At 43.4% G+C, this 15,035-nt stretch overlaps 1 protein-coding gene across 4 annotated transcripts in view; it reads left to right on the forward strand.

Moving 5' to 3' along the window:
- Window positions 1–15,035, forward strand: part of HLF (HLF transcription factor, PAR bZIP family member) — a 60,228-nt gene that overhangs the window by 34,288 nt on the left and 10,905 nt on the right. The window lies entirely within an intron of this gene.

Below are 15,035 nucleotides of genomic sequence, written 5' to 3' on the forward strand. Positions count from 1 at the left end.
ATACACTTCCAGGCAACACTTATTGCTTAGCAACACTTACTTAGTAACCTTTCAGAATGATCATTAACTAATAGGGAGACAGCCTGTGGTGCCGATCGTAGGCTGTTGAGGCTATCTCTACGGGCATTTTCACCTATCCTGCCTACTTCCGTAACCTATGCCCCACAAAACATACACTCTCCAGACATGAAATTTAAAAATAATGAAAGATGATGCAGGAACTTCAGACACTAGATGCAATAGACAGCAAAAGGAAGCACCTATGTTAGCCTTGGTTCTCAACATACCAAGATGCTCTTATGAACACTTCTAACAAAATGTTCCCAAGGAGAACACAAAGCAGGCACCTAACATCCAAGAAGCATGTCATCACCTCAGCATGCCTGCCACACGTCTAGCGCACTGCAGCCTTCAACTCCTGGTCTCAAGCGATCTTCCCACCTTAGCCTCCCAAGTAGCTAGGACTACAAGCACGTGCCACCATGCCTCGCTAATTTTTTGAAAAATATTTTTTAGAGATGAGTTCTTGCTACGTTGCCCAGGCTGGTTTTGAACTCCCAGTCATATTGTTCCTCATTTGCTTTTTTTCCTTCTTCTTTGTTAAGAGACAGGGTCTTGTCCTGTTGCCTAGGCTGGAGTGCAGTGCCACCATCTAGCTGACTGCAGCCTTGAACTCCTGGGCTCAAGCGATCCTCCCACCTCAGTCTCCCAAGTAGCTAGGACTACGGACACATGCCACCACCAGGCCCAGCTAATTTTTGAAAAATATGTTTTAGAGATAAGATCTTGCTACATTGCCCAGACTGGTCTTGAAGTCCAAGCCTCAGGTTATCCTCCCTCCTCAGCCTCCCAAAGTGCTGGAACTACAGGTGTGAGTGCTTGGCCTTCCTCATTTGTTTAACAGATATAGTAATGCAGCCACTTGATTAGGAGGCACAGTGACCGCTCTTGAGGGATCAACAGTGTAACCAGGGAAACATCTCTTTGGTCAGTCCCGTTTCACTAGCCTGTTCAAGAACTGGTTTACCTCCTACCTTTCTGGCTTTTCCTAAGTACCTTTTACAGAGTCCTCCTCTTCAGCTGTGCCTAAACTGTCAGTGTTCCCCAGGACTTTTTCTTTGGTTTTCTTGTTCTGTGTGCTCTCCTGGGGAGATAATCAGATTATAACATCTGCATCTCCAGTTTACATTGCCCTTCTATAGCCTACATTGGTATATGAAGCTGAGATCCACATGCTCTAGGCTTCTTCATCTGGGCATCTGAAACTCAATGGATCCACAATGAGACATTTTATTTTCCCTTAAATGTGCTCACTCCACAATATTCCCTATTTCAGTGAATGTCAACACCTCCTTTGCAGGTGTCCAGGCCAGAAACCTAAAAGTGAATCTTGCTCTCTCCTCCTCTTTCCCCATGTTCAGTTGGCAACAATTCATGTTGCCCCCATCTCATTAATAACTCTTGAATCCACCTAGTCCTCTGCTGTTGATGTAGGTGAGCTCTTACCATTCCTGGTTCCCCTGTAAGCCAAGCTCTGCCTGGTTGCCACAACAATCTTTCTGAAACGAGTCATCTGATCAAGTGAGTCCTTTGCTCTAATTGCATCGATAGTTCCCCGTTCTCTTGAGGATAGAACCTGAACATCTAAGACCCTTCTGTGTCTGTCTCAATGCTTACCACTCTTCTTACCCGCCGTGAGCTCCAGTTACACCAGCTACTCTCAGTTCCCCGACTGGCCCATGAATTCTCTCATATCTTCATGCCTTCACATATTTTGTTCCCTCTGCCTTGGTTACCCTTTATCCCATTTACTTTTCTGGCCAATTTCAAGACTTGGCCAGGATGGCAACTCCCTCTGAGGGACATTTCCTGTTGTCCCTGCACTCCCTCCAAAGATAGGGATTTGTGATCAACCTTTCAACTCCAACCTGTGACTCCCTGGGCAAAGCCCTTTTATAGCACATATTATTCTGCAATCTAATAACCTTTTTACTTACCTGTCTGCACCTCCAGACTGCATGCTTTTAAAGTTTGGGTTTTATTTATATATTCTCAGAGCCTGGCTCATAGTAGGGGCTCAATAAAAGTGTTTAAGCAAATGAATGTCTTAATCAACAAAGACATAGTTTATCATTTTCTGTGTAAGGCAGTGGCATGGCCTTTGCCTGGAAAGATTTGCAATCTCGTTGATTAAAAATTATAGAGTTACTTAATCTGATAAAAAAATTATCAGTATAGACATTGTGAGAGAAGTTAGGAGGAATTGTCGCCAACATTGGTATAGTCAGGAGTCGGAGGGCTTGAATTAGACCTTGATATGGATGTTAGGACAAATAGAAGTGGCGAAGACGCAAAGCAAGATTGTCTAGAAACAAAGCAGACCATTGGCTTAAGCAGAGAGCATGAGATAGGAACAATATGCCTCCCTGTGGAGGTCTCTCCCCAGTAGACAAAGATTTCAGACCAGGAGGCAATGGGAAGCCATTGGCTTCCTTTGATCATGGTGGCGATACTCTAGGAAGAGTAATCTGGTGGCTGTGTTGGCAGATGGGATTGCAGGTGGCAGAGACCAGTTAGGAAGATCTTGCAGTTGTCCAAGTTCCTCATGACTGCACCTGTCTTGTGACAGGGATCTGAAACACAAAGGAAAGCCTCCACTGCACTCCAAGAATAATTTATTGCTAGATCTGGAAGGAGCCTTTGCTATCATCCCAAACATCTCATCCTATTATTTAACAGTGGTGGGCAAACTGAGGACTAATCTCAAGGTTCCCATAACTGATGGGGTCTTTGGATTCCAATCCTTGTCTCATTTTCCCAACCTGCCTGGGAAGTGGGTGGTTAAAGTTTAAAGCCTGGAAGAATGGGGGAAATAGTTCACAGGCATGAGGTGACCTGCAGGAGAGGCTGATGGTCTATAGGAGATTGGAGGATGAGTTTGGCTTAAACATGTTGATTTAGAAATGACAGAGGGATTGGAGGCAATGACCAGCAGTCCACAGATCAGTTTAGGACTCTGTGAACGTTAGTGGAAGAGATTACAGAGAACACTGGCTAGGAGCCAAGGCAAGAAGGCTTTGGAAAGGCATGTTTGCCTTTGAGTGCTTAACTTAGAGACTCATGCGGGAAAGAATCTGTGGATCTCTTTGAGAAGCTGCAGAACAGCAGATACACCTGAATCCTATTCATGTTCATCCAGAAACGCAGACTTTAAAACAACCTTGTTATTCTTCCTTTGTTTTGTTTCGTTTGGTTTTAGGGGGTTGGAGGGGAGGGAAGGGTGTCACCGGGGGAGCATATGGGTCATTTGTTTGCAGTTCACAGGGGTTCTTAGTGAACATCAGCGAATATTGTCGCTGATTTCGTCTCCTGCTTCACTCTCTTTTCTAAAAACAAAATATTTAATGTAGCCCAAAGGAGAATAGTCAGTTTAATAACTAGCCATGGCAGCTCTTTGAAAACTGCAGGTTTCAAATAACTAGGCCTGCACATTTTCACCAACTCAGACAATTAAAAAGACTCCAGGGACCTAGGTGGTGCTGATTCAAGTGGCGCATATTGTCATTTAAAATGGAAAGTCTATTTCTGAAAATAGACTCCAGGTATGGGAGAACTTGTTTCTCTGCTGGAGAAGGTAGCCCATCCTAGGGGGACCGAGGTAAATTGCTTAGTGGCTCAACATCTACATAGTTAAAATGGGCCCATTTGGCCCTACCTACTTCGCAGAGTTGTTAGGAGGGCAGAATGAGGCTATAGATAGGCAGCATGTCATTGGACTAGGTCCGCCAGATGCAGAATGTTGACAAAAGCAGAAGTCCCCTCCCCTCAGACTCCTCTGGGGAAAGCTGGCAGCCTTGACCACCATCACCGCTCTGCACACCATAGCAGGGATATGAGAAGGGGCTGAGGTGAGCATTGGACTGGAGGCTCCTCCAGCTGTCTCTTGTTGCCTGTCCTCTAGTGTGTAGAGTTGCAGTGTGGCTTGAAATGGTCATCACACCCACCATCACCATGGCAGCCCTGGGAGGAGGGACTGGCTGCTACTCTCTCAAGAAGGGATAACTGTTGCACAAAACACTGCAGACTTTGAGCTGGCCAGCAGTTGACCAGCTGACCTAACCTCCCGTTTTCCAGGTCTTAACCTACCATCCATTCCCTGCAAGTACAGAGGAAACTAGAAAGCTACCCTTCTCCCACCATAGTTCTGTAACTTTGGGATGGAGTGAGAAGCATGGCATTGTTACCAGGTGATAGGGCTCATTGTCCAGTGCACTAGAAGCCAGTATTATGGCACTGGGTCTTTAAGAAAAGAAAAGCTTTTATTTCATGTCAGCCAACAAGGAGACAGGATCCAGCTCAAATCTGTCTCCCTGTGCTTGCTGGCTTTCAGGCAGCATTTGTATTAGAAAAGGTTTAAGGGGTGGATTTTGGGATTAGCAGGTGATTGGTGGCAGGAAGGGTGAGGTCTGGAAAGTCCTTGGGCATGCACGGTTATCTCTCTCTGCATCCTCATGGATGGTTTGTGCAAATTCAGCGAGGGGGGTGAATGTGAAACGTGTGGCGGAAGTTCTGGCTGTGACGTCAGTAAGCTCGTTCTGCACAGACTCCAGTTGGCCATATTGGTCCCAAACAATTTTAGCCAGCCTTATCTTTCCAGTAGAGGGAGTTTTAGTGTTTCCACAAGCTTTTATTTAATTTTTTTTTTCTTATCTGCCATCCTGTAAGCTCAAGAATTTCTGTTAGTCACTGGTTTAAGTCTTTGGGGCATGGTTTCAATATGAGTGTGGGAAAGGGGAAGCCATTGCCTCTTGTTTCCCATTCGTGACCATCCCTACCCACTTCAGTGGGCCCAGTGTTGCCAGACCTGAAATATACCTCATGTGGGTGTTTGTCTCTGGTACTCTGGGTTCATTTCTGGTCACCCTATGATATTTCCTTGCCCTAAGGTACTGGCACAGCTATCGGGTAGGAGGAGGCCAAGGTAGAAGGCACAGAGCCATTCTTGCCTCACCTTCTGCCACACGGTGACCCCACATGTCTGGGGAGAGGCTCCCGGCCCAGGGAGGAGGAGGTGGAAGGTGCACTGTCATAACCATCACAGGGGGCAATGGCGAGAAGGCTCATGGGCCACGTGCCTCGGCCATTAGTTGTCATGTCTGTTGTACCCCAACTTAACTGACTTCTAACCGGCTGTGGTTATGAGTTCCGCTGGTCTCACCTTTCAGTGGGTTCAAGGGGGCAGATTTTGCTGACACCATAGGCAAGGAAGCATGATGGTAAACACCACTGGAATGAGAGGCCTTGTTAATCCAGCCCAAGCTCCTGCCAAGTTAGAAGCTGAGGAGTCTAGTCTGGGCCACTTTGAGTACTGATGCATGATCCCAGGGCGATGTGCTGTTCTGGGCACAGGGTCACACTGGGTGACATCTAACAGGCTTTGCTTGGGCTGTAGCTAGAGGGAAATGGGAGCTGGGGAGTGTGACAGGAGGGAAGTGTGGACTCTCCACCTACCAAGGGGCCTTCCCACATACTGTCCATCCCATTCAGCGCCCTGAGGTGGGCGTCATTTCTCCCACTTGACAGATAAGGGAATCAGACCATGAGGCAGAGTAACTGGCCCCAGGCCACACACAACTACGTAGTGTCAGAGTCATGATGAATCCTGTTTGTCTACACCTTCTGATGAACTGAGCTACCTCGTGCAGGACAGGCCCAAGGAAAGGGGCTCAGGCCAGAGTGGGAGCATTGAAACAGGGTTCAAAATGTCTGTCTGCCCAAACCAAACGTTAATTTGCATACTAATAGTTTAAGGGCATAGATATAATACAGACCTCCCCCAAGAAGTGACCTTTGAAGCCAACTTCTTCTTCATGTGACGGAATACATCAGACACCCTGTCTGCCGGGAATCCTTACCCTTCTCCTAGTGAGCCGTGGTCTCTGGCCTATCCAGAAGCTCCTTAAAAATACTAGTGCATGAGATGTAGCATTGACAGGAGCCCTGGCCTGTGGGTCAACAGTTGCTTTGTCAAATGCAATCTTGCCCTTGGCACAGCTCGCCATTCAGGAGGATGGAGGAAGTGGACGAGAGAGAGGGAGGTAAAAGAAGGGAGGGAAAGGAAGCAGGATGCCTGGCTGCCTGGAGCTTCCTTGGGCTCTTGTCCATGAGAGGAAGCCATACCTACCTCTCTGGGGTTTGCCAACTCTTGTCCAGGAACCTATTGGGCTAGAGTGGAGGGGAACTGCAGAGTCTCCCCTTCCTTTCTCTTCTGCCCCCATGAGGAGGAAGTGAAGTGGAGCAGAAAGAGCGTGGGCTATGGTTGAGCCCACTGGAGTCTGCACTCCACCCAGCCTCCCCCTGGCTTTCTAGCTGTATGACTTTAAGCAGGTGGTTTCACCCCCTCTCCCTCTCCACTTTTTCCTCTTTAAAATGTGGGATACAGTGCCCGCCTCGCAGAGGCTGATGGTTCTGTGGAGTGTTGTGCACAAGGCTCCAGCCCAGGTCCTGATGCAGGACTCTCATTCTGGAAGGCTGGGTGCCTGGCTCTCCTTGGGGCACAATTAGGCTTCCTGGCTGCATTCCTGGGGCATTCGCATGAAAAAGAACATGGGCTTTAGAGTGAGAAGGATGGGGAGATGAGTCTCTGTTTTTCCATCTGCGTGGGCAAATTATTTAGCATATCTGAGCTTGTCTTAAGCTTTCTGTTTTCTATTCCTTTATTTCCACATATGGAAAATGGGTATATGAACTATTCTGCCTTCATATAGCTATTGTGACAATTAAATGAAGTAATCTCTGAAGAACCTTACTATCAGTATTACTGATATTACCAGAGAGGTGGCTCATGTTTGTAATCCCAGCATTTTGGGAGGCCAAGGTGGGAGCATTGTTTGAGCCCAGGAGTTCAAGGTTTCAGTGAACTATGATCACGCCACTACACTGCAGCCTGGAGACAGAGCAAGATCCTGTTTAAAAAAAAAATTGCTGATATTGATTATTCAGTAGGCCAGGGAAGCCCGTCTACCAGCCTACAGGACGTCATTGCATTCACCTTCTCAGTAAATGGCAACAGACTCTTTTCCTAATGTTTACACGTAATGGATTGAACTGGCTTAGCATCATGCTTTACCCATATTTCTGTTGACAGCCTGTTACTGTGTGGAGAGAATTGCTGGATAAGAGCCACTGAGATCAAAGGGATCTTTACAATGGGCCTTTCAGTATATTTGTTCTGTAATCATGGACTGAAAACTTACTGAGCACTTGCCATCTGAATGAGGCAAAAAGGAAGTGTGTGTGTGTGTGTGTGTGTGTGTGTGTGTGTGTGTATGCATGTGTATGTGTATGCATGATTTGTTTTTGCCTTAAAATTAGTACATCAACCGTGTAATGTGCAGGACATTTAAAATATGTCAGAGCTATGACAGGTTCCCAGCTACTGGGATCCAGGACACCTTCCAATTTCATCTTTGGCTAAGACTTTCTATCTCTTTTTTCTTCTTCTTTCTTTCTCCCCCTCCCTTTTGATGCCTTTCTTTCCTTCCATAATACCTTTCTTTATTCTTTCTTTATTTCTTCTTTGATTCATTCTTGTATTTCTTCTTGGTTTCTTAATTCCTCTTTCTTTCTCTTCCTTTCCTCCCTGCTGCCCAATACACTTCTGACCTCAGGGCATAGATGCATTGAAGGGCATCTGCTGCTGTGGCCTTTTGGATGGGAACCCTGTAGATCTCAGCTAGGTTGGTTTATCAGCTATAATGTATTCCTTGATTTGGTAAAACAGCCAGCAGCAGAGCAACATGCTTTTACCTCCTCTTTTTTTTTTTCCTCATCCCATTTCCTCCCTCTCTTTGGTTTCTTCTTCCTTTCAAGGGGGTTGAATGGTCTCCTCTCAGCGGCCTTTTTTTTTTTTTTTTTTTTTTTTGAGACGGAGTCTGGTTCTGTCACCCAGGCTGGAGTGCAGTGGCGCAATCTTGGCTCACTGTAGCCTCCACCTCACAGGTTCAGGTGATTCTCCTGCCTCAGCCTCCCAAGTAGCTGGAATTACAAGCGTGCGCCACCATGCCCAGCTAATTATTTATTATTATTATTATTATTTTTTAATAGAGACAGGGATTCACCGTGTTACCCAGGGTGGTCTCGAACTCCTGGCCTCAAGTGATCTGCCTGCCTTGGCCTCCCAAAGTGCTGGCATTACAAGCATGAGCCACCATGCCCAGCCTTCTCTCAGTAGCATTTAACACAGACTCCTGGAACATACATGCACAAAGTGAAAAAAATAACATTTTTAATTTCTGATTTTGAAAGTGAAGATCCTCATTATAGACAATTTGCAAAATATTGAAAATAAGAATTAAAATTTGCCCCTGTTCCTCCCAAAAGTCCCTGTTAGGATCTGGGGGGTGTTATGTCCAGCTGCTCAGTAGCTCGTGCTGTCCCCTCCATGCAGGTTCCATCTAGAATCTGGGGCAGCAGCAGGTAAGGCCAGGTCACTGTTCTGTGGGGCTTACATGGGAGTGGAGGGAAGAGATCAGCAATATCAAACAAATAAAAAAGATCGTTTGGGATGGAGATAAATATTGTAAAAAAAAAAAAAAAACATCAAACAGAGTTGTTTGATGGGTATTGAGCAGGGGTAGAGGAAAGTCAGAGGGTTCGAGGAATTGGCATTTATGCTAATGTCTACATAACGTAGGAGGACTAGGTAGGCAGAGAGCAGAGGAAGAATGCTTTAGGTAGAGAGGAAACTAAATACAAAGGCCTGGGTGGGATCACATTCAGGGGACGCAAGGAGCAGAAGGAAGGCCAGTGTGGCCAAGTGTGTGAGTGAGGTAGAGCCGTGGATCTGATCATATGTGGCAATGGGAAGCCTTGGGAGGGTTTGATATGGAGATGTGACCCACACGGGTCTGCATGTTTAGAATTATCACAGTGTACCGCTGTGGAGACGTGGGAGATAGAAAAGGGATAATGGTTAAAAGTTGCAGTAGTTCAGAGGACAGACAGTGCTGGCTTAGACAAGGGGAATAGTCTGTTTATTTGATTTACTTTCAAGTATCTCTGAACTATTATCTGTATTTTGTATATGTGTTTATATAGAGACCATTTATTGCACACTTTCCGGGTACTACAGATTGTGCTAAGCACTTTGTATGTATTATCTAGTTCATTTTTCACATAGAATCAGGCATAGTAATCTCCTTTTACACATAAGGGAATTGAAACTCAGGTAGGTTAAGAAAAGAAGGGGGAAAAAGTCAACGATAGTCCCTTTCCCCAATACAGACCTTATTAGGATTTAGAGGGGCATTTTTTGGGGGTCATTTATTTACAAAGGCCCAAGTTTATAACATACAGGTGACAGAATCAGCATTCAGACCCAGGTCTGACTCACTTCACAGCGTAAAACGACTGTCCTGTACAAATTTAAATCCTGCTATAATGTTATTGTGGGTGTAAACACTCTCCCCCTATGCAATAACTCAGCTTATAGGTCAGTCTCCATTGCAATGAGAATGTTTACCAGACAATCACAGAAACTCACCGTACACAAATAAAGGCTTATTGTTCACTCATCTGTAATTGCTATGGGTTGCTCAGGTGGCTCTGCTGATCTTGGCCGGACTCACATATCTAGAGTTCAGGTGATTTAAGCTGACCTAGGCTGGCCTCTTCTTTCATTTTCCAGCAGGCTAGACTGGGCATGTTTATGGTAATGACAGAAGTGCTACAGAAAAGGGGCAGAAACATGCAAAGCCTCTTTAGGCCCAGCCTCAGAACTAACACTATCATTTCTGCCACATTCTGTTGGCCAGTGCAAGTCAGAGACCAGCCCAGATGCAAGAGGTAGGGAAATAGGCTCTGCCTGGAAGTGCAGGTCCCATGGAATAGGACATGAATGGGTTAGGAATGAGCCTTTGGCCATCAGGACGTTAGTGTTAAGCTTTTGCAGAAAGGACTTGTTGGACAAATAACAGATTCCTGCTGCGGGAATGGAGACCAGCTAATATGGCCTGAGTCCCGAAAGCCCATATCCTTAGGCTGTATTTGTGAGGTTTTAATTTAATCTTTGTATATATCGTGAGCACTCTTCGTTGACCTTATAGTGTTGCTATCATCTCCTAAGTTGATTGGCTCCCTGAATGTAAAAGGATTTTCAGAGGCAGGCATGGTTTGTAGCAAAGTCAGCTGTAATCCCTGATGATGGTATCATCATCGAGGGATGCCAAGAGGGTAAAAGCACTATTTCAGATTATGGCTACGTGGGATCCAGGAAGTCATGACAAGTGAACAGACCCTAAACTGGTGATGAGGAGGAGGGCAGAGGTGAGCAGGAGGGAAAGATTCGGCACCAAACTTTGAATCACTAGGAGTTTCACTCATCAGCTCTAAAGGAAACCCTTTGGCCAAAATAAAAATTGTCTTCTCTTTCCTCAGCCTTAATTGATAGAGGATAATGTTATCAGCTGGCTAATGCTCATCAGTGATCAACATTAGACTACTGTGTTTTGACGTTACTGCTGCAAATCTCCTGCTTTATTAACTGCCTGAATGAGGAGCACATCAGAAAGATTGGAGGTGTTGCAATTAGCCTTTAGGATGAAATAATAAGTAACACTATAATTTGTGACTTTGATGCAGACATCAATTTAAAACATAAACCACTGACTAGAGAAGAGATAAAGACAGAGTGCTGCTGTTCCCCTTCATTGATGGCTGCTTGCTAATGAGCTAATTGAACACAAGCTGCTAAATTCTTGCTAAAATACGAAAGAATATGAAATATCCTGTTTCCAGTTATACTATTTGGAGGTTTAGCCTTGCCTAATCTGTGACAAAAGTAGAGGCCAACTTTGGGTTTGAAGGTAACTTCTATTCTTTTTCCAGATTTCTTTAAGCCCTTTGTTCCACCCTTTCCTCCAGAAACCCTCCTTGGTTCTTCTGGAAGTGACTTTCAGCAAGAAGCTTTTAGAAAGAAAAACAAAAAAAACGAAAAACAATGTTCCAGTAACTGCAGAGGCTACATGATGGGGTTGATCTTGTCCACTATGGATCTTTTAAATAAAGCTTTGGAAATACCAAGCTCAGACTTAACAAATACAGGAGAAAAAATGGCATGATTATCTCAATAAATAAATATCAAAAGGCATTTAAGAGAACTTAATACATTATTTCTGGTTTTAAAAATTATTAGTAAAACAAGGTTGGAAGAATTGGAACTGCCTTACTTTGTCAAGTTGTATCTACTAAGATACTAGAACAAGCCTTTATATTGAAGGATCTGAAGAATTAAAAGCATATTCCTTTAAAGTCTGGGACAAGCAGTGATCATTAGTCTCAGTCTCTCTTTCTTCTCATTGTCTTGCAGAAACCGGCTAATGCAGTGAGACTGAAAATTATTAAAAAGAAAGTAGGAATTATAAACATAGAAAGGATGCCACCTCTGTCTATAGAGGCAGAAGATGAGATTGTTCACCTAAAAACTAAGAGATGTTAGAACTGTTAGAACTATTAGAACTAATAAGAAAGTAAAGTGGCTGGATATAAACCAGTAACTTTTAAAACCAGTAGCTTCCTATATAGCAGCAGTAACCGCTTAGGAAATATAATAGGGTAATATACCCTAGTAACAACTCTTATAATACATTTAAGGAATAAACTGAAATGTGAAAGGCTAAAATAAAGAAAACTATAAAACTAAACTGATACATGTTTTTAAAAAAGCCCACAAAAAATAAAAATGGAGAGCATACTGTGGGTGTATTCAATATTTTAAAGATAGTTGTCCTCAAATTTACCTGTGAAATTGTAATTCAAAAATGCCAAATATTATTATATTTAAAACGGTAACTTTAAATATAACTTAACTAATGTATTCTGAAGTTTACCTAGAAGAGTATATGTATAAAAGTACCTTAGAAAATTTTCTAAAAAGAACAAATAACCAATAAACATGCAAGATGTTCAGTGTCACCAGTAACAAGGGAAATGGAAATTATAACAATAGTAAGACCAGCCTGGCCAACATGGTGAAACCCTCTACTAAGAGTAGTCTCTACTAAAAAATACAAAACAATTTTAGTCTCTACTTAAAATACAAAAAAAAATTAGCCGGGCGTGGTGGCGGGCGCCTGTAGACCCAGCTACTCGGGAGGCTGAGGCAGGAGAATGGCTTGAATCCAGGGGGTGGAGGTTGCAGTGAGCCAAGATCACGCCACTGCACTCCAGCCTGGGTGACAGAGCGAGAGTCTGTCTCAAAGAAAAAAAAACAAAAACAAAACAATAGTAATAGTTGTGCATATCAGATTGCCAACATTTAAAAAATCATATTGTGTGACACGTGCACTCTTACAAATGGTGGTGCAAGTGTAAATAGCTATGACATTTTTTGGAGCACAGTTTGGCAGTAGGTTTTTAAAATTTATTATTATTTTTAATTTTAGATTCAGTGGGTACATGTGCAGGTTTGTTACATGAATATACTACGTGATGCTGAGATTTGGCCTTTGATTGAACCCTTCATGCAGAGAGTGAACATAGTACCTAATAGATCCTTTTCACACCTTGCCCCACTCACTTCCTCCACCTTTTTAGAGCCCTCAGTGTCTACTGTTCCCAGCATTATGTCTGTGTGTACCCAATGTTTAGTTCCTACTTAGAAGTGAAAACATGCAGTATTTGGTTTTCTGTGTTAATTCATTTAGGATGATGGCCGCCAGCTGCATCTGTGTTGCTGCAAGGGGCATTATTTGATTCTTTTTAATGGATACATAGTATTCCGTGGTGTAGATGTATCACATTTTCTTTATCCAACCCACTAGAGATGGCACCTAGGTTGATTCCGTGTCTTTGCTATTGTGAATAGCGCTGCGATGAACATGCGAGTGCAGGTGTCTTTTTGATTGAAGGATTTATGTTCCTTTGGGTATAAATCCAGTAATGCGTTGCTAGGCCAAGTGGTAATTCTATTTTTAGTTCTTTGAGAACTCTCCAAACTGCTTTCCACAGGGGCTGAACTAATTTATATTCCCACCAACAGTATATGAATGTTCCCTTTTCTCTGCAACCTCACCAACATCTGTTATTTCTTGACTTTTTAATAGCCATTCTGGCAGTATGTTTAAAAATATAAAATGTACATGCCTCTTGCGTGAGCAGTCTCACTTCTAGAAATCACTTCTATAAAAACATATACCTAAAAATCCATCAGTTGAGGAATTATACATCGTTATATATCCAAACTATGGGATCCTCTTGACCCTTTAAAAAGAAAAAGTAGTTTTATTTGTACTAACATTGGAAATTGCATATGGTATATTGATAGATTAAAAAAGTAACTTGAGATATGTGGGTAGTATAATACCATTTGGGTTAAATCACTTATGTGTAAAAACCAAGATATAAGAGGTTCACGTCAAGATGTTAAGGGTGATCACCTCTGGAAAGACAGTGAGTGAGACTGGGGGAAGAGGAGAATAGCAAGAACCAGGACTTTCACTCTCTTTACACATTCCTGTATTTGTTAACATTTCGCAGCGAACATCTTTGATCATTTAAAAAATTAATGATGCATTCTTATATTGACAATTCTTATACTAAAATTTTGAAAATCCACAGGAGATAGGAAAAAATACCCCTTACTTTTGATACTATTGACATTTTGAAATGAAAGGAAAAAATGAGTTTAGTAGAGTTAATTCAGCAGAAAATATAAATATATAAGATGGCACTAAGGTATCTTTGGGGAGAAACGGGACCTGGTTTTGTTTCGCAGGTCCTTTGCCATTTGCTGTTTGATACTGGGGAAGCCACGTACCTTGTCTGTGGTCCAGTTAGGTTTCTCCACTCTGCAGGTAGGGCTGACCTACTTCCATTGGAGGAAAAACCTAGAGAGAAAGAATGTCAAGAAAGGTTCCACCTGAATGGGAAGTGTTATTGTTAGAATGTCCATGAATGAATGTCAGAGTCCAGCATCTCAGAGGCCATCATTAAATGAGGAGCAGTCTTTGTAGAAGCTGAACTCTGAAGTATGCATCATGGTGAGGAGTCAGGTGGGGATAAATGAATAAAACATAAAAGACCATGTGGTATGGTAGAGGAGGAGGTGTGTGCGTGTGTGTGTGTGTGTGTGTGTGTGTGTGTACAGCTTAAGAACATAAAGCAATAAAGGAGAACATTTTGATACAGCATAATAAACAATATTGGAGTACTAAGGAGGAGCTTGGAGCAATTCGATTTGGGAAGTATTAAGAGGTGTTACATGATGATAGGAGATGGGTGCACATGCCTGTGTAAGAATGGGGAGGTGGGGACATTGTAGTGATGGGGCATTGGCATTGGGTAGCTTTGTTATTAAGTTCAAAGAGTTTCTAAAGGGAAAATAAAATCCCCATTTGAATCACAGGTGGTTCATTTTCTGAGGCAATCTCAAGAGGCACAAGATCAAATCTAGCTTGACACCATCCAGTACAGAACTCAGCAGTCTCTAGAAGCTGGAGCTGAGCTACAGCTTGGCTAATGAGAACTCTCCATCCTCTGCCAGCACCTCAGGGCCCATCTCTTCCTCTTTGGCAAGCAGGATACAAAGAGAGCGCAAAGCAGAGTGGGACCTAGAAGGTCACCCAGAGCATTCATTTTGCAAACTCCCCACCAGGCCTTTCCAGAAGACAGATGATCACGGTTTCACAGTTTTGCTAGAATCCGAGCCAGTGGCTTCATGCTTCGACCTGGGGTAGGTTTTAATGAAACCTAAAGAATACTTCACACATTGACCTACCATTGGCAGTGAGGAAGAGGGGGAGATGGGCCAAACACAGCTGAACGACATCCTCTCATTTATTCATGGGGCGTGAGAGGAGTGATTGTAAAATTCAGATGAAAACTAGAAGTTAAAATTCAGAGCTCCCAGTATAAACATTTGGGTCTGGTATGAAGTTCACTTTCACCAGTAAGACACATTGAGAAACACAAGAAACCCATTGTTCTCTGGATGTTTGTGCATTTCAGTGGTTTTGCCTGTAGGACCCTCAAGTGGA

This window comes from Homo sapiens, chromosome 17 (genome assembly GCF_000001405.40).
Source record: "Homo sapiens chromosome 17, GRCh38.p14 Primary Assembly".
Taxonomy (NCBI): Eukaryota; Metazoa; Chordata; class Mammalia; order Primates; family Hominidae; genus Homo; species Homo sapiens.